Source organism: Homo sapiens, chromosome 10 (assembly GCF_000001405.40).
Source record: "Homo sapiens chromosome 10, GRCh38.p14 Primary Assembly".
NCBI lineage: Eukaryota > Metazoa > Chordata > Mammalia > Primates > Hominidae > Homo > Homo sapiens.
Window position 1 is genome coordinate 102,402,560 of NC_000010.11, and position 20,686 is coordinate 102,423,245.

The 20,686-nt window shown below is 60.0% G+C and overlaps 2 protein-coding genes across 6 annotated transcripts, besides 11 other annotated features; one reads left to right on the forward strand and one right to left on the reverse strand.

The window, feature by feature from the left end:
* On the reverse strand, positions 60-17,387 carry PSD (pleckstrin and Sec7 domain containing). Of its 4 annotated transcripts, none has more exons than NM_001270965.2 (18): positions 17,315-17,387; positions 16,142-16,200; positions 13,826-14,562; positions 13,458-13,560; positions 12,304-12,670; positions 11,210-11,638; positions 9,822-10,016; positions 9,588-9,668; positions 9,148-9,260; positions 8,499-8,557; positions 8,299-8,388; positions 4,664-4,707; positions 2,787-2,977; positions 2,624-2,694; positions 2,339-2,496; positions 2,024-2,168; positions 1,283-1,426; positions 60-871 (listed from the first exon to the last, which is right to left on the reverse strand). In NM_001270965.2, the coding sequence occupies exons 3-18, from the start codon at positions 14,477-14,479 to the stop codon at positions 641-643; spliced, it is 3,075 nt and encodes a 1,024-aa protein (NP_001257894.1). In that variant the 5' UTR covers positions 14,480-14,562; positions 16,142-16,200; positions 17,315-17,387; the 3' UTR covers positions 60-640. The 4 variants fall into 4 exon arrangements, 3 of the variants coding, with proteins under 3 accessions (NP_001257894.1, NP_001257895.1, NP_002770.3); NM_001270966.2 differs by lacking the exon at positions 17,315-17,387 and adding an exon at positions 17,097-17,162 and having other exon boundaries at positions 13,826-14,072; NM_002779.5 differs by lacking the exon at positions 17,315-17,387 and having other exon boundaries at positions 16,142-16,226.
* Positions 1,253-1,547: a silencer, noted in NCBI's record as "tiled region #3575; K562 Repressive DNase unmatched - State 8:EnhW". NCBI's record gives its function as "represses a minimal TATA promoter and a strong SV40 promoter by Sharpr-MPRA in K562 cells {active_cell/tissue: K562}" and the evidence as "EXISTENCE:reporter gene assay evidence [ECO:0000049][PMID:27701403]".
* Positions 6,225-6,344: a silencer, noted in NCBI's record as "silent region_2757". NCBI's record gives its function as "represses an Ori minimal core promoter by ATAC-STARR-seq in GM12878 lymphoblastoid cells {active_cell/tissue: GM12878}" and the evidence as "EXISTENCE:reporter gene assay evidence [ECO:0000049][PMID:35858748]".
* Positions 7,554-8,236: an enhancer, noted in NCBI's record as "H3K4me1 hESC enhancer chr10:104169870-104170552 (GRCh37/hg19 assembly coordinates)". NCBI's record gives its function as "activates a minimal SCP1, AML or CMV promoter by ChIP-STARR-seq in primed H9 embryonic stem cells {active_cell/tissue: H9 hESC(primed)}" and the evidence as "EXISTENCE:reporter gene assay evidence [ECO:0000049][PMID:30033119]".
* Positions 8,237-8,918: an enhancer, noted in NCBI's record as "H3K4me1 hESC enhancer chr10:104170553-104171234 (GRCh37/hg19 assembly coordinates)". NCBI's record gives its function as "activates a minimal SCP1, AML or CMV promoter by ChIP-STARR-seq in primed H9 embryonic stem cells {active_cell/tissue: H9 hESC(primed)}" and the evidence as "EXISTENCE:reporter gene assay evidence [ECO:0000049][PMID:30033119]".
* Positions 10,585-10,734: a silencer, noted in NCBI's record as "silent region_2758". NCBI's record gives its function as "represses an Ori minimal core promoter by ATAC-STARR-seq in GM12878 lymphoblastoid cells {active_cell/tissue: GM12878}" and the evidence as "EXISTENCE:reporter gene assay evidence [ECO:0000049][PMID:35858748]".
* Positions 18,195-18,664: an enhancer, noted in NCBI's record as "active region_3930". NCBI's record gives its function as "activates an Ori minimal core promoter by ATAC-STARR-seq in GM12878 lymphoblastoid cells {active_cell/tissue: GM12878}" and the evidence as "EXISTENCE:reporter gene assay evidence [ECO:0000049][PMID:35858748]".
* FBXL15 (F-box and leucine rich repeat protein 15) lies at positions 18,277-20,577 on the forward strand. 2 transcript variants are annotated; one of them, NM_001387294.1, is made up of 5 exons: positions 18,277-18,398; positions 18,493-18,623; positions 18,795-18,948; positions 19,228-19,733; positions 20,245-20,577. In NM_001387294.1, exons 2-5 carry the CDS (start codon positions 18,571-18,573, stop codon positions 20,432-20,434), a joined length of 903 nt encoding a protein of 300 aa, NP_001374223.1. In that variant the 5' UTR covers positions 18,277-18,398; positions 18,493-18,570; the 3' UTR covers positions 20,435-20,577. The 2 variants fall into 2 exon arrangements, with proteins under 2 accessions (NP_001374223.1, NP_077302.3); NM_024326.4 differs by having other exon boundaries at positions 18,277-18,623.
* Positions 18,905-19,074: a silencer, noted in NCBI's record as "silent region_2759". NCBI's record gives its function as "represses an Ori minimal core promoter by ATAC-STARR-seq in GM12878 lymphoblastoid cells {active_cell/tissue: GM12878}" and the evidence as "EXISTENCE:reporter gene assay evidence [ECO:0000049][PMID:35858748]".
* Positions 19,575-19,904: an enhancer, noted in NCBI's record as "active region_3931". NCBI's record gives its function as "activates an Ori minimal core promoter by ATAC-STARR-seq in GM12878 lymphoblastoid cells {active_cell/tissue: GM12878}" and the evidence as "EXISTENCE:reporter gene assay evidence [ECO:0000049][PMID:35858748]".
* Positions 20,135-20,194: an enhancer, noted in NCBI's record as "active region_3932". NCBI's record gives its function as "activates an Ori minimal core promoter by ATAC-STARR-seq in GM12878 lymphoblastoid cells {active_cell/tissue: GM12878}" and the evidence as "EXISTENCE:reporter gene assay evidence [ECO:0000049][PMID:35858748]".
* Positions 20,385-20,434: an enhancer, noted in NCBI's record as "active region_3933". NCBI's record gives its function as "activates an Ori minimal core promoter by ATAC-STARR-seq in GM12878 lymphoblastoid cells {active_cell/tissue: GM12878}" and the evidence as "EXISTENCE:reporter gene assay evidence [ECO:0000049][PMID:35858748]".
* Positions 20,525-20,584: an enhancer, noted in NCBI's record as "active region_3934". NCBI's record gives its function as "activates an Ori minimal core promoter by ATAC-STARR-seq in GM12878 lymphoblastoid cells {active_cell/tissue: GM12878}" and the evidence as "EXISTENCE:reporter gene assay evidence [ECO:0000049][PMID:35858748]".

Below are 20,686 nucleotides of genomic sequence, written 5' to 3' on the forward strand. Positions count from 1 at the left end.
AGCTACCCACCCTGCCCACATGCCAGGCATGGTGAGAAGAGAAGGAGGAGGCCCAGCCAGCAAGTCCAGAGCAGTTTTAATGGGGGTGGAGGCTGTACAAAGGGCAAGGCCCACTGAAGCGGGGGAAAGCCAGGCCGTGCTGCCCCCGGCCCAGGTATGGGGCCTTGGCATGGACGCCCTTCCTCCACCTCCAGCAAGAGAAAGAGTAAGCCCTTGGGGAGGAAGGAGGGGAAACCAGCTCAGCCCCAAATCCTGGTCTCTGTCCAAGCCAGGCCCCAGGACAGAGGGGGACTGATGGTGTCAGGGTGGGGGTGGTCTCAGCAGAAAGCAGAAACGGCATCAGGCCTCTCCCACACAAAAAAAAAGCATCAAAAGTTCAGGGGCGCTAGCCCCTCCCGCCCCCGCCCACCCTGTACGAAAAAGTGCAAAACATTATCACAAAAAGGGGCTCTCGGAGGTGCCCCTAGCCTAGGCTCCTGAGGCCCAGGCCCCAGCCCTGCCCTGCCCCGGACACCGCGTCCGGCGCGGTCGGGCCCTAGGCCGGGAGGCCCTCGTGGGTGGCCCGAGGCCGGCCCGGGCTCAGGCAGGGCCATGTCATCCTTCAGGTGCCCAGCAGGCACTCCCCACCCTAAACCTCATCTCAGGGCTTCCGCCGCCCACTGCCTGCCCCTGGCCGAGGCTCTGAGCTGTGACGCTGAGCCCGGGGCTGGCTGGAGGGTTTGGGCTGCAGGGAGGGACTGGAGTGAGAAGGAGGGAGTCCATCCTCTGTGCTCCCGGCCTGGGCCAGTGCTGCCTCCACTGCATCCAGCTCCTCACTGCCTGCCTTCAGCTTGACCCGAAGCAGCGCTGCATAGGTGCTGTAGCGGGATTTCTGAGGCAGAGGGGCAGGGGCTGTGAGAGCCTCTTCTCTGCCTTCTGCCCACCCCACCATCTGGACCAGGGAGGGCCGCCAGCAGGGCAGAAGATGGCAGGTGCCCACCCAGGACTGTGAGATGGTCCCATGCGGGCTGGTGCCCCCTCTGGGCTCTCCTGGGACCATCATCTATAACCTAATGTGTCTTGAGCCTTTACTAGAGCTGGGGAAATGGCACGCTTGAGACATGCCTCACCTCGAGACCCCAGTGGATGTCAAATGTTATCCTTGTTGCACAGAGGAGGAAACTGAGGCTTAGGTTAAGCAACCTGCCCAAGGACCTCCGGCCGGTTCCACTGTTAGAGTTCATGCCCTTCACCCTAGTATGGGCCTGCGTGTGTGGACAGAGGGGCAGACAGGGAGGCTCACCTCAAACTCCAGGTAGGCCTCCTTCTGCCGCTGCTCTTCAGCCTCCTTGCCCCGGCCCTTCTTGCCCAGCTGGGCGGCCCGGTGCTCCCGCAGCTCACTTGCCATGGCCTTCAGCTTGGCCTCGTGGGTCCGCACCTGCTCCTCCTAGCGGCCAGGGGGAGGCATGGTCATGGTCACTCTGCCCTATACAGTGCCTCTGCAGATTTTTAAAAAGATACCCCTTCCAGCCGGGCGCGGTGGCTCACGCCTGTAATCCCAGCACTTTGGGAGGCCAAGGCGGGCGGATCACGAGGTCAGGAGATCGAGACCATCCTGGCTAACACGGTGAAACCCCGTCTCTACTAAAAATATAAAAAATTAGCCAGGCGTGGTGGCAGGTGCCTGTAGTCCCAGCTACTCAGGAGGCTGGGGCAGGAGAACGGCGTGAACCCGGGAGGCAGAGCTTGCAGTGAGCTGAGATCGTGCCACGGCACTCCCACCTGGGCAACAGAGCGAGACTCCATCTCAAAAAAAAAAAAAAAAAAGATGCCCCTTCCTTTGGACAAACAAAGCACTATGTTTGGGTTCCCAGCCGGCAAGCGGGACCCAGTGGGGGCTGGATTTCAGTCCCTGCTCACCCCTGTGGCCAGCATCCTGGTGCAGGGGACATCTCCACGATCACACGCAGCAGCCTTGAGTGCAGTGGGCCTGAGCCTAACACCCTCCATCCCACTGGCACTAGGTGGACAGAGCTTGGGCTACCTGGGAGAGGCGGGTGGCAGCGCTGGGCAGGAGAGGGCGGCTGAACTTCTTTTGGGAGCTAACAGCAGCTGGGAAGGGGGGCGCAGAGAACATAGCGGCTACTACATTGATGCGAGTGATCCAGGACTGCATCTGCTCCAGGCTCCTGGGGAGAAAGCACAGCCCTTTGGGACCTGGGCCCAGGGTTTCTGTCCCAGGATGCCAGTCCTGGCTCAAGTGTGGCCTGAGAAGGAATGAAAAAATCCAGGGACAGGGAGGGGAGCAGGATGGGAGGTGGGGGAAGGGGTCCGGGATGGGCAGGAGGAGGGCACTCACGGGGCCTGGAAGAGGAAGACCCGCCAGTCAGCTGTGCGCAGGTAGAAGACGTGGGGCCTCTTGCTGTAGTCACTGGCACGAGTGGCCAGGGCATGGTGGATGCTGATGGCATTCTTGAGCTCCGTCTCTGAAAGGGCCTTCCCAGGCTTGTACTCCTCCTGCAGGGGTGTCCATCTTGTCCTGGCCCCAAATGCAGCCTGGCCCAGCCCCTCCTATTCCCACCCATCACCCCACACCCACCAGCCAACTCAGTCCCAGCCCCAGCCCCCTGGCCTGACCCCGCACCTTCTGCAGGTAGAGGATCATGCCCTTGAGGATCCCGTGGAAGCTCTTCCAGCCCCGCTTGCCCCGAGGTGCTGCGGGGAGAGAAGACAGGTCAGGGGGCCCTGGAACAGGCCCACTCCCATCCATCCCCTAGACGCCCGCCCCCCGCAACTCGGCCACATACTCTTCCTGCAGTCAGGGTCTGCGTGCACCTTTCGCACCAGGGCCCCGTGCTTGTAGACGGCAGCCCCAGGCTCGGGAGTCAGGTCCAGGAAAGGGCTGGAGCCACTGCCACTGCCCCCGCTGATCCGCTTGATGACCTTGGGGTTGGGGTCGGCCAACTCAGACAGAGAGCGTCTCAGCTCCTCCTCGTCTCTGCAGGTGTGATCACCTCAGAGGGGGCTGGCCATGGAGCCGCGGCCCCCGCTTCAGTTCTGGCCTCTGCTCGCCCTGGAAAAGCTCCCCCAGTGTTTGTGGCTTGGGGGGCTCAACCTGAGGGTCCTGCCATGTCTCCCGTCTCAGATCAGGCCTCCACAATGTGTAGCTGTGCCTCCTCAGAGCAGGGCACCTCCCTCAGAGCTCCCCAGCCTAGAGCCACCACTGTCCCTTCCTCCCAGCAAGTAGGGCCAGCACTATCCTCTCCATTGCTGCACACCTGCAGCCCTCACACCCTTCTCCACCAGGACAGCCCCGGGCCTGCCTCCGCTGGCTCAACCACATCCAGCCCCAGGCTTTGCTCACGGTTTGTGGGCTAAATGGTAGCAGATGGAAGAAGTAGTTTCCTAGTGCCGCCCCCACCCCAACCCCATACATCCTGGTCTACAGGCTCAGTCAGATACAAAATTTCGGATTCTATCTTGTCACTCCCTTGCTCAAGAACCTGTGGTAGTTCCCTGTTACTTCCCATATGGAGCCTACACTGCATCTCCCCCAACAGTGTTTTTCTCCGTCCCAGCTAGGCCTGCCTCCCTTGGTCCCCCACCCCATACTCATTTCAGCCACCACACCTTTGCCTCCCAAATTCCAGCTTCCCCTTTCCTCTTCCCAAATGTTGCCCCAACTTCATGGCCCCAGTCTCAACCCTCCAAAAGCCTTCCCTGATCTCCCCCTGCACCCTAATCCTGAGCTGCACCTCCCCTGAGATCTCCAATGACTGGGAACTCCCAGCTAACTGGACAGTGAGGGAGTCTCAGTGGATAACGGCAAATTTGAATGATCTATGAACTGTGAAGATAAGGCCTCTACCCTCAGACTGGGGACCCCAAGGCCCAAACTGGATTTCTTCCCTCAGACTAGAAGACTAGACTCTTCCAAGACTTACTTATGAGTCTCTGTGTTTCTTTTTTCTTTTTTTTTTTTTTTTTGAGACGGAGTCTCTCTCTGTCACCCAGGCTGGAGTGCAGTGGCGGGATCTCGGCTCACTGCAAGCTCCACCTCTCGGGTTCACAGCATTCTCCTGCCTCAGCCTCCTGAGTAGCTGAGACTACAGGTGCGTGCCACCACGCCCGGCTAATTTTTTGTGTTTTTAGTGGAGACGGTTTCACCGTTTTAGCCAGGATGGTCTTGATCTCCTGACCTCGTGATCTGCCCGCCTTGGCCTCCCAAAGTGCTGGGATTACAGGCGTGAGCCACCTCGCCTGGCCGAGTATCTATGTTTCTATTGGAGCCTTCCAAGAACAGACAGCATGGTTACTTGTTTTGTTCTGTGACATCTGGGCTCCCTAGGACCTGTGAGGGCCTCTTGTGCTGCTGGTCAAGGCCCTGCTTCCAGAGGCTTCTGCTTTCCCACTCAGGTTGCCAGGGGACCTCCCTTTGATGTTTCAGCACCTCTCCTCCCACCCCAACCCACTTGTCATAACAACCCAGCTAGAGACAAGATACAGAACCCCAAATCCAGGCAGACATCTCCAAAGAAGGAAGTGAGGCAGCCTCACTGCCTCTCATGGCCTCTCACTCCCCTCCCCTACCCCCACCCAGGGCCTACCCCAGCTCTCTCAGCCTCCCCAGGCAGCCCCTTCCCCATGCCCCATCCTAGCCCCACCACGCAGCCCCGGGACTCACATGGCCCACTGCAGCTTCTCATTCTTGATGGAGCTGTACAAGGCCTGGGGGGTGGGGGGAACAAATTAGGGGGTTGTGGGTCAGTACCGCAGTGTCAGAGCTTAGAGCCTTCCCCTCTAACTTGAGAGATGAGCCAGAACTAAGGGGAAAGGGCAGCAAGATATAATGACCAAAAATACAGGCTCCAGAATGGAGACCCAGACCCGGCTCCACCACCTGAGCTGCATGACTTCGGGCAAGTATCCATGGAGAGGAACAAACGTAGTAACATGTGGGCACAGGCAGTTAGCACAGGGCATCCCAGCACAAGGCTGACGCACAGTAAATGGTTGTTGCTATTATTATCTTTATTGTTGTTAAGGGGCTGTCCTGCTCAGATCCTGGGCTGGAGAAGCACAGCCCTGGAGGGAACGGGAAAAGCAGCCCAAGAAATTCCCCTTCCCCCAACCACGCGCTCTGGCCTGTTTCCACAGGATGAGCCCACACATAGCATATGGGGAAACTGCGACCCCAGGATAGGGGACTCGCCCTCTCAGCACTTTCCTTCCCTAATAGAGAATACACTATCATGGCTCCCAACACCAAGACAAGCTGAGGCCTCCCCCTAACCCTGACAGCCCCACCAAGCCAAATGCCAGGGTGGTCCAACGCCCTGCCCACGTGCACACTTTGTCACTGGAGAGTGAACACTCCTCTAAAAAGCAGTGGTTTTAGCTTCCAATCCCTGCATAGCCCAAACTCTGTGCGATGTGAACCAGCCACTTCCCCTCTGTGCAGTTGGCCTGGGGACATTTGGGGGTCCTGGGGTGGTCAGAAGAGAGAATAGGCTCCAGGAGTGGCATGGGGTCCCCTCTTCTCCAGAGTGGTCTGGAATATGGGTCCACGCCAGCACCTCCAACTGTGGGGTACTTCCGTCAGCCTGTCCGTGAGTGGGTGTGTCCCCAGCATGTGCATGTTGGGCTAAGTGTGTGGCGTGTGATGCTGCCTGCATGTGAGCTGGGTGCAGTGGTGACGTAGGCACCTTCCCTGTGATGGGACACAGCCTCCCCTTCACTCCTCCCAACAAACCACAGTCTCTGACTCTCTCACTGCCCACAGCCATGCCCAGCCACAAGGCAAACCAGGCATCCCAACTGGGCACACACTGTTCACACCCTATCTGGGGATGGGTGTACCCCACAGCCTCCAACCCCCACTCCACCGCCCCCAGCACAACCAAGGCAAATCAACACATAGACCTTCCAGCACACACCCAGACGAAACCCAGCATGGCTCAGACCCTTAACCCTCACTCCGCAACTCTCTGGCCAGAAAGCGGAAGTGGCCACCAAGATCCAACCTGCAATCCTTGCCTCCCGCCTTCTAGTTCATCCCCTGCCCTGTCTCAGGACCCCCTTCGGCCCACCATCACACCTCATTCGAGGGCCCTGAACCCCATCGGTGGGCCGCAAGTCATATTCAATCTAGAAAAGCCTCTTCGGTTTTTGAGGCCCACCTTGGCCCCAGGGTCTGTGCCCTCCCTGCCCCCCCAGCCCGTGCCCGCCTCTGGCTGCCCATGACCTCTGTCCCTACCAGGCTCCGCCCTCGGTTGGCACCGCCCTCGGTGCCTCCCACAAGCCGCCCCCTCGGTCGCCCCGCAACCTGGCGTGGGCCGCGGCCCCAACGCCCTCACCGCCTTTTTCTTCTTGCGGCTCTGCAGGCGGCTGACCACCAGGTCGGTGTAGAGCACGGGCTTGAGGCTGCGCGAGCGCTGCGGCCAGCCGTAGCACAGGGTCTCCGCGCCGCGGTGGGTGCGCCCGTAGCGCACGGAGCACAGCGAGCGCGAGCGCAGCCGCCCGGCGCTGCTGTGGATGCTGTTGACGCCGATCATGCTGGCCCGGCCGGCGCGCCGCGGCCCCCGGCCATGCCCCCGTCCGCCCTCGGCCCCCGGGCCGCCCGGACGGCCCGCGGACCGCTCCCCCGACAGCCAGCGCGAGCGGCGCGGCCCGGCCCGAGCCGGCCCGGCTCTCACGGACGCACGGAGTGCGCGGCGGCGGCGGCGGCGCTGTCTGCTCTGCGGCTTGGCTAGAGCGGGAGGGGGGCGCCGACGGGAAAGGGAGGGCGAGGGCTGGGGGCGGGGACCGCATGAAATGGAGGCGCCCGATCGCGAAGGGGGCCCTCCCCGCGCGGCCACGGGGAGGAGCCTGGGGAGGCCAGCGTGGGTGGCAGCTCCAGGGAGGCTGAGAGCACCGCTAGGCCTGGGGCTGTGACGCTGGGCGGACCCGGCAGGGTCTGGAACTCCCTTCTGGCTGGTCTGGGTTGGGGTGGTGGGAGGGGAGAGGTCGGACCGCTTCCCTGCAGCCCTTTTCCACTGAGCCAAGAGGGGCCTCGAGGGAGGACGGAGGCAGGGAAGGAACAGCCCTGGCCTCATCCAGCTCACCCGCAGATACCCCACCCATATATAGATCTGAAGTCACGTAACACACCTCGATTCTGACATACACCCCAACAAACCAGACGCACCAGTTCACGGTCACCCCAACTCGCAGACACTACCCATTCAGATGGACACTTCAAAACTTAGAATCTTTAGCTCACAAAGATACACCCCCTACTCAGAGGCATATGGCATACCTCAGACACGGCCAATTCGAAGATGTAAACCCCACCACACATAAACATCCAGCCTACACCCCAACTCAAACACACACTCTGAATCGTAAGCCCTAAAGCACAAACACACCAAGCCATACAAACCCTTGATTCACGACGCCCGGGCACACAGATGCAACTCAACTCAAGCAACACCCCAGCTCACCATGGACGTTCCCTCTCAGATATACCCCAAACTCAGAAGCCCAGCACCCCAAGCTCACAGAAACGCCCTAGGACAATCCTGTGCTGTTACATGTATGTAGTGGAGCAGAGACACCTTTGTCCTAGCCTGGGGGTTTCTTCAAGTGAGTCCAGGCCTCTCTAGATAAACTACCACCAGATCAGGGAGAGGAGTGAACCCACTGGATGAGCCACTCCCTTCTCCTACCGGCACCAGCCCCTACGTATCTGAGCCCTCGGTTGCGGGCCATGGAGCTGGCGCCTGGGAACGGGACCTGCTCACAGGGAGCCAGAAAGCAGTTTCTAGCTCCAGCTTTGCGCTAACTCGCTGCCAGACCTTGGAAAAGCTTAGTCCCTCTCAGGCCCCTCTCCCTCCGGGTTCCTGCAGCGCAGCAGCACCGGGAAGGTCTTTTTGGCTGTCCACGCGGCGGGGGAGCAGTGTGGAGTGTACCCCCATCCAATCCCTGTCCCGTGCAGGGACCCCCGCAACTCCCGCCTTCCACCCCAGCGCACACTGGAGGAGGGGAACTGAAGGCAAACGCAGGGGCCGGGGCCGCCTGCTCGCGTTTTCCAGAGCCGGGTCCCCTCCCCCGCCGTGCGCAGTCGCGACCGCACGCATGTGCGCATGTTCCGGGAGAGCCTGCGCGTGGGGCCTGGGGAGGGGGCGGTCCCCAGGCTGAGTCACGAGAGCCCGGGCTTCCGTGGCAGGAGCCGGGGGTCGGCAAGCCCCAGCCCTGCCCTCCCTCCGACTCTGGACTCCGTCGCCGACTGGGTCCTCCATCCTTCCCCTCCAGCGACTTCTACCCTGCCCCGCCCCCCACCTTGAGCAGCTCCCTAGGGAAGTCGCCGCCATCATTGAGGCCCTCCAGGTTCCCGATGAAGTCCCCGCAGGTCATGCGCTTCCCGATGTTCTAAGGAAGGGAACGGAGGCCTGTGAGTTTGGAGGGCCCTTGGCCTCCCAGGTCCTGCATGTCTGGCCAGGGGTTTGTTTTCCGGCTCCTGCCCGCCCGCCTCCACTCACATGGCCGTGGAGATCCGTGTTGAGCAGCATGAGCGCACAGGTCAGCGTGTGGGCGCCGTCTAGGGGAGAGCTGACTTTCAGCCTTGGCTGCCTCCCAGGGACCCTTCCCACAGCCATCTTCCCCAACCTCCCATTTCATCCCCACCCCCTTTGGCCGGCAACTTCCTACCTCCTGAACCCCGCTAGTAAACCCTCCCCACAAAGAGCTCCTCTTCCAGCAGATCCGTCAGCAAGGACCCGTCCCTGGCTCCCTCAAGTACTGAGGGCTAGTTGCCCCAACGTACTAGTTGCCCCAACGTTCCCTTGCCTCTAAGCCTGGACCACGAGAAAGTGAACCGCAGCACAGTCCTGTAGACCAGTGCAGCCAAACAGAATCCCCTCTCCAGCCAAGCACTGGCCTGCACAGGCATGCAAACTCCTGCCTCTTCACAACACACTCAACCCTAGCAATATGCCTGCCCACATGTATAGTTCCACATACATGCAGCCATGACAGCGCTGTCTGCACACATGCAAGTTCACATGCCTACACGCATGTACATCCATTCCCTGCTGTACACACACTCATGCTCCTGTACACACACACAGGGCCCAGCCCATTTTGCCACTGTGGCCAGCTAAGGACACCCCTGCTCTCGGAACTCCTCACCCTCTGAGGACAGGGCTTCAGGATTGCACTGGAAGTATCGCTGGGAGAAGTGGGCCAGCACGCGCTCTCGTTCCTGGGTCTCACCCATTAAGGCCAGCTCCTTCAGAAACACCCTGGAGAAGGGGCAAGAGAGGGTTGCCTAGCAACCAGGAGTTTCCAGCCTCTGTCTCTGGGGTGACAGGAGGCTTTGAGAGTACAGCAGCTGGGGTGGGAAGGGGAGGAGAGAAAGGGGATGAGGGTATGCACCCTGACCCTCCACCCATCACCCCTACCCAAGGTCCCTTTACCAGGCAGCTCTGGCCCTTGGCCATGCCCAGCCATCTTGGGAAGGGTGATGTCAGGACGGCTTGTGGGGGACAGAGGGGCTCAAAGGAGGCATCCTGGGGCCCTAACACGAACCCCGGAGAGTGGGGGCTGTCCTCCAAGGGGTCAACACCCACCTGAGAGCTTGGTCCAGAGTCATGCCCGTGAAGACAAAGAACTTGAGGTACTCCCCAGCCACCAGTTTGCTGAAGTCATTGCTGTGGGCAGGGCAGAGAGACAGGTAGGGTCTCAAGGGGAAGTGCAGGGGGTCAGGTGGGGATTACCCAATGACCAGGGGACATTAGATGGAGAGCTGCCTTCAGGATGCATTCCCTCTGCCCCCATCCTCAGTCCCAGCCTAGTGGCTTTACTTCTTGCCCAGGTGCCGGGCCACATCGGCCTTCCTGAAGCCATCTAGTCGGTACAGCCTCTTGGCCAGGCGCTGCGCAGCCTCCAGGTCCGCTTTCTGCCCATTGGACAAGGTGTCTGTGCTTCCCAGGGCCAGCCGCTCTGTGCTGTCCAGCTCTGAGTCTGAGTCGGACACCAGCTGGCTCAGGGGTGGTTCGCTGCCGGGGTAGAACACCAGCTCAGGCTGGGGCAGGGTCCTTAGGAGCCATCCAGACCCTCCTTCTGCCTCCAGGCCCAGAAGATGGAGAAGGGGAGGGAGTGGAGGGACATGGGGAAAGCATTCTTCTTTTTTCCAGGGAAGGAGATTAGATTCTCTCCATCAGCCTACTCCATCATTACCACCTCTCTGTGGAAGTCCTGCCTCAAATCTAACCCACATCCGTCTTGCTGCTGTGGGAGTTCTGGCTGCTTCCTCAAGCTCCCAGGGGCCTACATTTGCTATTAGACATAGATTATCTGTTCCCACCCTGGCCCTACACAGAACATAGTCCTTTGTCTCTTAGACTATGGACAAAGCTGGAATAGATGGGCTACCACGGAGGAACTGTGGAGGGCCAGGGAAAGATTTGAGGGCAGCAGGGATACTGGTCCGAAGGCTTTCCCCCTCCTGCTTTTTAGGGAGAGGAACCTCTCCTTGGTGCTCCCCCTCTGCCCACACAGAAGCAGGCTCTGGAGTTAGGGGGTTAAGGGTCGGGGTGCATACCCTCATTCCCTTTCTTTCCTCCCCTTCCCACCCCAGCTGCTCTACTCGCAAAGCCACCTGTCAGCCCAGAGACAGAGGCCGGAAACTCCTGGTTGCTAGGCAACCCGGTCTCCCTGGCCACCCCCTCCTGTTGCCATGGCTTCCATGACTGAGAGGGTAGCTGGCAGAGGGGAGAGCAGAAAGGTTAGACTGTGAAAGGACTTCCTGGAGCTGGACGAGAGATGCCTGATTAGGCAGGGGTGACATGGGAGGGAGGCAGTGGGAGAGGCTGGTGGCTGCATCTTTGGTGAAGCCTTCAGGCTGGGTGAGGGTAAGGTCACAAGAATTCTGAGCAGGCTAAAGACTCTGCCAAGGGAAGAAAGGGCCCTCCAGGAGAGCAAGAAGGGTATTCTCCTGGGATCCTTCAATGCTGAATCATGCTTTCTCAAGCCACTGGACTTGAGACCAAGAGGGGTGCTGTGAGGGACTCTCCCTCACAGCTAATGGCAGTAGTCCTCCAAATAGGAAAACAGGATCTGCATCCCTTAACCACCCCTACTCAGGGGTCAGGAATATAAACCAATCCTCACACTCAGGATCTGTCCCTTACAGCAGCTGTTTCTGGAGCCCTGGGGGCCTCAAGTCTGAGGGACAAAAGGAATTACTTACCTGCCAAGGGGTGCTGCCCCCAGCCCAAGGCTGTCCTCTGAGTGGCAGGGACTAGGGGGCTCCCTCCCTGGGGCCAGCTTGGCTCTGGCCTCTGCCTCCTCCTCCTCCCCTCTCTGTGTCCAAGGACCATCAGCAGCAGAGCTGGTACCAGAATCCGGTTCAAGAGGGGCAAGTGGGGCGGGAGCTGGTGGGTCGGGCCGGGGTGCAGGGGGTTGGGGAGGCAGCTCAAAGGTGAAGAAGGGGCTCTGGGTTGGGCCAGGTGAGGCCAAGGCCTCCAGCGAGGCGAGGCTGGTATAGGAGGTGCCTTTGGCCCGGTGTGACTCCAGGATGGCTTCGAACACACAACTGAAAGAGTCAGGCCCATCAGCCGAGGGGCTCGTCCCAGGTAGAAAGGGCACAGGTGACTTGAGAGGCATCCGGCTCCCTGGCCTGCAGGGGCAGGGAGAATCTCTGATTAGGGGCCCAGATCACAGGGCTGGGGCAGGATTTCACTGAACTCTCACACTGACTCTGCTAAGGGGATTATCATCCCCTTTTCACTGGCTCCAGCCCACTAACAAAAAAGAGCCTCTAGGGTAGGGCGCCAAGCTATTCAGTGCCCCCTGGGGCACACCAGCCCTACCAGTCCCCAGCACCCCATCCCCTCCCTCCCTGCTAATCTCCCTTTCTCCTCCTTTTCCGTGATCCGCTTCCCTTCTGCCATCCCATTTCTATTTCTAGCAACATCTTAGGAGAAGATGAGGCTCCAAGCGACACTGGGGTGTGAGACGGAAAGGAATGTCCCCACACTCCCCACTCTCCCACCAGGATCCAGGATCCAGACTCATGCTCCTGTGTTCCTGGGCTTGACTGTGGCCTCTGGCCTCTCACCCTGCCCCCTGTTCTGCTAGAACCCCTGGCCTCTTTGCTCCCCACATCCCCAGTGTTCTGCCAAGCCTCAGGCCTCTGTCTAGAATCTCCTGCTATACACACTGCCCCGCCAGCCCCACACCCATCTCTATCCCAGGCCCTTTGAGCCCGGCTCTGCCTGTGGGCCAGTGCGAAGGAGCAAGCCGCTTCCCTCTCCCACTTCCCCCTCCCACTTCCCCACTCACCGGGCCCCTTCAGAGGCCTCAAACACCTCGTCGTCCACATCTTCTTCCCCACCTGCCTCATCGTCGTCCTCATCCTCATTGCCACTGCCGAGGCTGGGATGAGGGCCAGGGAGTGGGCCGGGCCGTGGGGCAGGTGGGTAGGCAGTGCCTGGTGGGCCCTCAGAGCTGGGCTGACTTTCGATGGCCGAGTCGGCCTCCTCCCGCTCAGCCAGCACCTCATCGATGTCAGTCTCGCGGTAGCACCTCAGGGGCACCGTGTCCAGGTCTGTCTCGGAGTACTTGGCTGCTCGCCCCACAGCCACCCCAGAGCCCTGCCTTGAGCCCACCCCAGGTGGAGATGGGGGGGCCTGCTCTGGGGGCTTAGCACCTGTAGTGTGCATAGGCATCCAGGTCAGGAGGTTATCCACGTCAGCTCCCTGTCCTAATTCTGCTCTAGGATCTCTGCCCACTGCCTCATATTGACAGGAAGTTCTTTCACTGTCTAGCCACCATTCCTCCTGCTACATACTTAGCTTGTTCCTGGTGCCAGTGGAGCTCATTTTAAATCAAGTTCTTGTCAAATGGCTTTGAGGAGCTGGGGGAAGACCAGCCTTTTTCTGTCTTTTTTATTTATTTATTTATTTATTTTGAGACAGGGTCTCACTGTGTCACTGAGGCTGAAGTGCAGTGGTGCAATCATAACTCACTGCAGCCTTGACTGCCTGGACTCAAGGGATCCTCCCACCCAACCTCCCCAGTAGCTAGGACTATAGGTGCACACCACTACATCCAGCTAATTAAATTTTTGGTAGAGACTTGCTTGTTGTCCAGGCTGGTCTTGGACTCCTGGCTTTGAGCAGTCCTCCTGCCTTGGCCTCCCAAAATACTGGGGCCACTGAGCCCTGCTGAGCCTCTTTTCTACTCCATGGAATGCCCCTCAATATCCTTCTGTCCCCTCCCTCCATTACTCAGCTTCCTCCAGGTGCCCTGCCCAGTCCTATCCTCCAGCCTCCCATCATAGCGCAGATGGAAAGATTGAGGCCTGGGGAGACATTGGCTGACTCAAGAGCCAATTCCAAGGATTGGGGGAAGTTTGAAGGAGGGCTCCCTACTGAGCCTCAGCTGCTGTGGGGAAGGCCCTGCCCTGTTCTCCCTGCCTCAGTCCCAGGCCTTACCTGAGCTGGGGGGGTCCAAGGAGCCATAGAAGAATTCCCATTTGGCTCTAGCGATTCTCTGGGCATGAGAGGAGACTTCCCGGGGGGAGGACCAGGTATCCCCCTGAGCCAACGAGGGAGACACAGGCACCCAGAGATAAAGCCAGACATACAAGGACACAAGAATATGGGACAGAAACAGAAATTAAAACATGCATCGACAGAGATGGAGGTTCAGAGACACAGAGACAAACACAGAGGGCAAGAGAGAGGCAGATTTAGAACAGATTAAAGGATTCAGAGTGAACAGCAGACAAGCCCATGTCTGACAGGAGGCTGAGCCTTGCCCCTTCACTGGGGGCCCAGGGAGCCCAGGGGAAGTTGCATACCTGGTTCAGGAATCCAGTGTCAGCAGGTCCTCCGAAGAGTGTGGCCAGGCGCTCAGGGGGGCCCCCCAGCCCATTGGGGAGAGAGGAGTAAAGGCCATCTGCTCCAACCTGGGGTGGGGCTGGCGGCCCATGTACAAGGTTCCGGCTGCCAGGTAGGGCCGAGCCTCCTCTGGCGGGGAGTGGGTCTGATGTGGATGCTTCCAGCCGTAACTTCCGGTTGGAGCCAGGCCCAAGGGCTGGGGTGGGCCTGGGAGGAGAAACCCCACCCAGATCCCAGCTCCGACTCAAGCCCCCTGGAGCAGGTAGCCCATTCAGTGGCCTCACACTGGCCTTCTCCACAAAGCGGAAGATGACCACAGAGCTCTGGGCCCCGGGTGGGGGCTGCCCAGTGGGTGAAGAGGGTGCCCAGGGTGAGGGAGCAACACGGGGTGAGGGGGGGCCACGCAGAGGTGTACAGGGTGCTGTCACACGTCCCAGTTCCCGGCCTCGAGGACCTGGACCTGCCACTCGCCGTAGCAAGGAGCCTGTGCTGCCATACATGCTGGCTGGGGGGCTCTGGGGCACCGGGCCTTCGGGGAGCCAGCGGCGTGGGCATCGTGGTGGGGAGATGGCACAGTCGCCTTCCGAGCAGAAGCGCATGGCACCCTGGGCCATGCTGGGGCCGGGGGTCAGGCTGGGGGGGCAGGGATGGCGAGGCCAGGCGGGGAGTAAGGGGGCTGCATGCTCTTCAGACAGGCCTGTAAGAGAGGAAGGGGAGCATGGGGTGAACTGCCAAGGAGTTAGATGGATAGGACAGCAGAGATAGGGAAGGGAAAGTTGGCTAGGGCCTCTGAGTATCAGGGACCTAGCACACCCTGGTAATATGGGATCATTGATCCCACGCCTGGGGACTACTTCCATAGAGGCCTGACGAGAAAAGACTTATACACCCAGTGGGCCCCTGGCTCCTTTCCTTCTGCCTGAGGCCCTGAGCATCACCCTGGGAGGAGAGAGGAAGCAACTTCAAAGTTGAGTGAGCCCGGAGTTCTTATGGCACTTTGGAGCTACTTCTAGAATAGGGGAAGTTGGTACCCCACCCTCTGGAAAAGGGGTGTCAGCCAGCTGTCACCATCATACAGCCCTGTGACCCCTATAGTCTCTCTTATGGAGGCCCCTCACTCAGGGAAGGGAAACTCAGGCCTCCTGGAAGGAGAGGGAAGAGGAACAGGTGTTATATAGGGATGCTGAAGGGCTGAGAGGCACAGCATGGAAGTGGGGAGAAAAGCCTGAGCAGAGGCTCCTACCCCCAATATATACATACTGAGTGGGAAAGGGACATTCTTCTTTTTTTTTTTTTTTTTTGAGATGGAGTTTCGCCCCTGCTGCCCAGGCTGGAGTGGAATGGCGCTATCTCAGCTCACTGCAACCTCCGCCTCCCAAGTTCAAGTGATTCTCCTGCCTCAGACTCCTGAATAGCTTGGATTACAGGCGCTCAGCACTATGCCTGGCTAATTTTTGTATTTTTAGTAGAGATGGAGTTTCACCATGTTGTCCAGGCTAGTTTCAAACTCCTGACCTCAGGGGATCCACCCACTTTGGCCTCCCAAAGTGTTGGGATTACAGGCGTGAGCCACCGCACCCGGCCAGGGACATTCTTTTCTTCATACAGGTACAGACAGGCACCTACACACACACAAACACACACACACACACACACACACACACACGCACACACATACATAAGGACAAATATGTCAGTACACAGTTAAACACATTCATAGGCAACACCCTCTGGCACACACACAGACACACACACACACACACTGCTCAAAGACACACCCTCATGCACTCTCACAGTCATAACAAGTATGTGTGTAATGAAAAGGCACATGCTTGTTTTACACACACACCATCATCAAACAGGAACACACAAAGAGGTACCCAAATATATACACAAGCTGTCATTCTCCAGTGCACACAGAGGTCCAGGTGTATCAGACACTCACAGAGACCTACTGCTCACAGTCACATACACATACAGATGTACACATACAGATGTACACACTCAAGCAGGGACACACACCGTCCCCTCCCCCCCACCTACTGGGGTCTCTTGAGGGGAATCTGCACCCATATTCCTCTCCTCTCCCTCTCTCCCCAGGGGTAAGACAGATCCCGCCCAGGAGAGACCATAACCAGGTAAAGGGGCCTCTGGTGGCAATGCAGGGGAGGGGCAGAGGTCAGGAGTAGCAACCCTGCCAGGCAGGTTCCGGAAGCTCAACGGGGTCCCAGCGCATACCCGGTGCAGCCCCAACTCAATGCCACCTCAGTACTCACCGCTGCTCGCCCAGAGCTGAGACCGAGGAGAGACAGAGGAGAGGCTGGGCCCAGCTGAGCTGTGAAGGCAGCGCGGCTCCCGTTTGCTCCAGGCCCGCCCGCCTCTCAGTCCCTCCCCCTACCCCCTACGCGCCGCTCAGGCAACGCTAATCCCCCCCACCCCCCGCCCTCTCCCAGGGCCCAGAGCCCCGGAGGCTGCCAGCCCCCCTTGTCGCTAGGTCCCCGCTGGGCTCTCCCGCCAACCTAAGACCCGCCCCAGACAAGGAGGAGGGCGCATGGAACCCCTGGTTCTATTCCCCAGACCCTCACGTGCCCCACCCCACTTGTGTCCACGTCTCTCTCGCCCACCGCCCCTTGAGCCACACGTAAGGCCCGGCTGCACACGCGTGTCCCGCTCCAGACCCCACGCGTGTCCCTAGGAGGCTGCCACATGACCTGTTACATGCCACACGCGCTCCCGCCCCCACGAGCACGCGGCCGCGCCAAGCACACGGTATGGGTGTAGACTGGACCCGCCCCCTAAATCCAGGAGACCATCAACTATGGAAAGGAGATCTAGGGAACACCGTCTTGAACCCGCCAGGGGTTTTGAGTCTCGGACCCAGGAGATCCAACCCTGACCACCCTCCCAGGATGCAGCAGGGGGATGTTAAATCAGACTTCAGGAAGAACTTCCTTGCTGCCTGAGTTAGGTGTCGTCACGCCTGCCCAGGGGTAAGAGGTTAGACGGGATGAACTAGGGACCGGAAGACGTGGGGGACCGGCAACCCTTGTGCCCTTGGCCAGGGTAGAAGGGGGCCCTGCTATTTTAAGAAAGAGCCGCTGGAGTTACTATGGCAACTACTCTCTTTGGGAGGGCCAGGGCGGGCAGATGGTGACCTCGGAAGGAAGAAGGGGTCTGTTCGGGCAGTCAGGGGGCGCGAGGACGTGCGAGGCGGGGGCGCGCGGGGCTCACCGCGGGGAGGGGCGGCGCGGACTCCGCGTGGTGCTGAAGGGGACAGCGCCAGATTTGTCGCACTGCGCAGGCGCAGAGGCGCGAACAAAGAGGGGAGGGGGACGAGGCGCGCGGCCGGAGGTGGTGCGCGCTCACGTGGCTCTATCTTTGCAGGGGTCTGTCCTCCCAGCTACCCCCTCCCTAAGCAGGCTGAGGAAGAAGAGATAGCAAGCCCTCACCTAACTTGACCCCTTTCTTGTCTCTCCCCGCTGCTAGCTTCTCCCTTCTCGCTGCCTTGCGGGGTGGGGAAACGTGGAAGGAATTCTGGGAAAACCAGATGTCTGGGTTCTCTATTCCCGTCTGGCTTGATTCTGGACAAGGGGCTTCCTCTCCAGGGCCTCGGTTTCCCCATCTTTAAAATGGACTGATAGCATAGACCTGCCCACCTTTCAGAGGTGCCCGAAGCCTTGACGAGATAACAGATGAGAAGTGGTTTTCGTTGTGATGAGCCAGCTGAAGCGGTTGCACCGGAGCGCCAGACCGTCAGCGGTGCAGTGGCTCTCGCGTCCTTCACATCCCCCCACACCCATCCCGTGGATGATGGGGGAAGGCACTACTCCTGGGGTTCCCCGAAGCGGATCCTGGGACTGGGACCTGGGGACGCGGTGAGAGGCAGCCCTGAAGCTGAGTCCAGAGGTCTGGGGCGTCATTGTCCCAGGGCGGACCCAGCCCCAGACCCTACAACTAAACCCAAGGCCAGCCGAGAAGCACTACCACTGGCGGGCTGAGCTGAGCTCTCATTCTTCTTAGGACTCTGGACCTTTGGAGGAAATGAAAGGGACCCAGTTGGAAATATAGTCTTTCTTCGCGCCCCCTACATCTCTCTCCCCCGGCGGAAACGCGGCCCAAACTGTTACGAAGTGGAAGAGGCTGGATAGCTCTTCATAATTAATCAGGAATGGGAGGTTTGAGCAGGTTTACTTGATGAGGGAAACATTATAGCCTCGCCAATTCATTCATTATTTCAACAATTACTTATTGAACACCTGCTACGTGGCAGACAGTAAGAGCCTGGATAGTTTCTCCCCGTTTTTCAAAGTCGCTAAACGCGACCAGAGGGCAGAGGAGAGGCCGGTAACCTAAGAGTCCTGGCTCCGCCCCCTCCGCGTTTGGCCTTGCCTGCTCCTCCCACCACCACTTCGCTCAGAGGCGGCTACTGGCTCAAGAGGACGACAGAAGCCAGTCTCTGATGCCCACCGCATTCTCCAGCTTCAGGCCTCAAGCCCTGTAGCCGAGAAGGCGAGGCCTAATGTTACACCACCGGTCTGTTCCGCCTCCGTTTCGGGGTCCACCCGAAAAGCTTTCAGATCGGATCCTCGGTGAGACGGCACTCGATTAAATAGGTCTGTCTCTACAGGCCAAGGAGGCGGGTTTGGTGCGGCCACTCCAAGGCCAAAGCGAGAAAATCTTACTGCGCACGCGCAATAGACAGCCGATGGAGCCACCGATGGAGCCGTCCGGAGGGGAGCAAGAGCCCGGAGCCGTCAGGTACCGAGCACCGGAGGGGCCGAGAGGGAAGAGGAACCTGAGGGAGGGGAGCCGAGCCGGGGCTGGGTCTGGGGGCCGCTCTTGGGAGCTGGGGCGCAGGAACATAACGGAGGCGGACTCGCAGGTAATAGTGGCCCCGGGACGCCAGTGCCAACGCCCCTTTACTCGCAGGTTCCTGGACCTGCCCTGGGAAGACGTGCTGCTCCCACACGTCCTGAACCGGGTCCCGCTGCGCCAGCTGCTCCGGCTGCAGCGCGTTAGCCGGGCCTTCCGGTCGCTGGTGCAGCTTCACCTGGCCGGGCTGCGTCGCTTCGATGCCGCGCAGGTGAGCCGGGGGCTGAAGCCCCGCCCCTGCCTGGGTACCGCCCCGCCTCTAGCCCAGCCCCCAGCCCCGCAGTATGCCCTTCTGGACCCCCTTGGGCCGCCGGGGCTGCCCGGAAGGGATCCACGCACCAAAGGGCAAATACTCGGTAGCGACTCAGAGGGAAAGTGGGGTCTCTCCTGGGAGAGCAGGAGGCTGCCAGAAAAGAACTCAGGTCAGGGGTGCATAGGCGGCTGAGGAGTGCGGGACGGGCTGAGAGTTGGGGTGCCTCCCCGCCCGCAGGTGGGTCCGCAGATCCCGCGGGCCGCATTGGCCCGGCTGCTGCGGGATGCCGAGGGGCTGCAGGAGCTGGCACTGGCGCCGTGTCACGAATGGCTGTCAGACGAGGACCTGGTGCCGGTGCTGGCGCGGAATCCGCAGCTGCGGAGTGTGGCGTTGGGCGGCTGCGGGCAACTGAGTCGCCGGGCGCTTGGGGCTTTGGCCGAGGGCTGCCCACGCCTGCAGCGCCTGTCGCTCGCGCACTGTGACTGGGTGGACGGGCTGGCGCTGCGCGGCCTCGCTGATCGCTGCCCGGCCCTGGAGGAGCTGGATCTCACCGCCTGCCGCCAGCTCAAGGACGAGGCCATCGTGTACCTGGCGCAGAGGCGCGGCGCTGGTCTCCGCAGCCTCTCTCTGGCCGTCAACGCCAACGTGGGGGACGCCGCGGTTCAAGAGTTGGCTCGGAACTGCCCAGAACTCCACCACCTTGACCTCACCGGCTGCCTCCGCGTCGGAAGCGACGGTGTCAGGTGCCTGGGCCTGATAGGGCGGGAGGAGGGCAGTCACTTAGCCTCTGCTGGTATGGGGCGGGCTGTAGTTGTTAAAAGGCCGGACTGAGGGTTCTGAATCTTCCTGCAAACCACAGCACCCCCATTCTGAACAGAAAGGGCCTCTAGGATTGCCTAGGCCAGAGAGCCCATAGTTTAAAAACTTTTTTCAACCAATGTTTACACATTGGGAGATTTCACATAGAAAGTCGACTTCTGGCTTTTCTTCAACAAGGGGGAGATCTTGCAATCCTAGGCGGAGCTGAGGGCCAGGTTCCCCCCTTAAATGAGACAGGAAGTCTCCAGCTCACTGGAAGCCAATCCAGGCGCCTCCCTTGTGTAGGGACGGAAAAAGTATGCCCCTGCCCCGAGCTGGAGGGAGACCGGGATTTTGCCGGAGCCAGTCCGAGGCTGAGTGAGCCCGGGCCTCCACCTTACCCCACCAAAGGTGTGGTGGCCTCATGTCCCTAGCCTCACCCTGCTCCTCCCTCAGGACATTGGCCGAGTACTGCCCCGTGCTGCGTTCGCTGCGGGTGCGGCACTGCCACCATGTGGCGGAGTCCAGCCTGAGCCGCTTGCGGAAGCGCGGCGTGGACATCGACGTGGAGCCGCCGCTGCACCAGGCCCTGGTGCTGCTGCAGGATATGGCGGGCTTCGCACCTTTTGTCAACCTGCAGGTCTGACCCGCCTGCCAATCGGAGCACAGCTGGACTGTGTGGCTGGGGCCTGACACTGAGCTGTAGGGAAACTGAACTGTGAGGACCTCTGGTGAGAGGCCAGTGCCCTGCCCCACCCTGGAGCTTCAAATAAAGAGCTTTTTACCCCCTCTTGCCTGGTGCTGCCCTGTTGAAGATAGGGGATTCGAGGTTGGGGAGGAAAGGTCAGACAGGCATAGTATCCCAGTCCTGAGGCAGAAATGACCAGAATGCACTCAC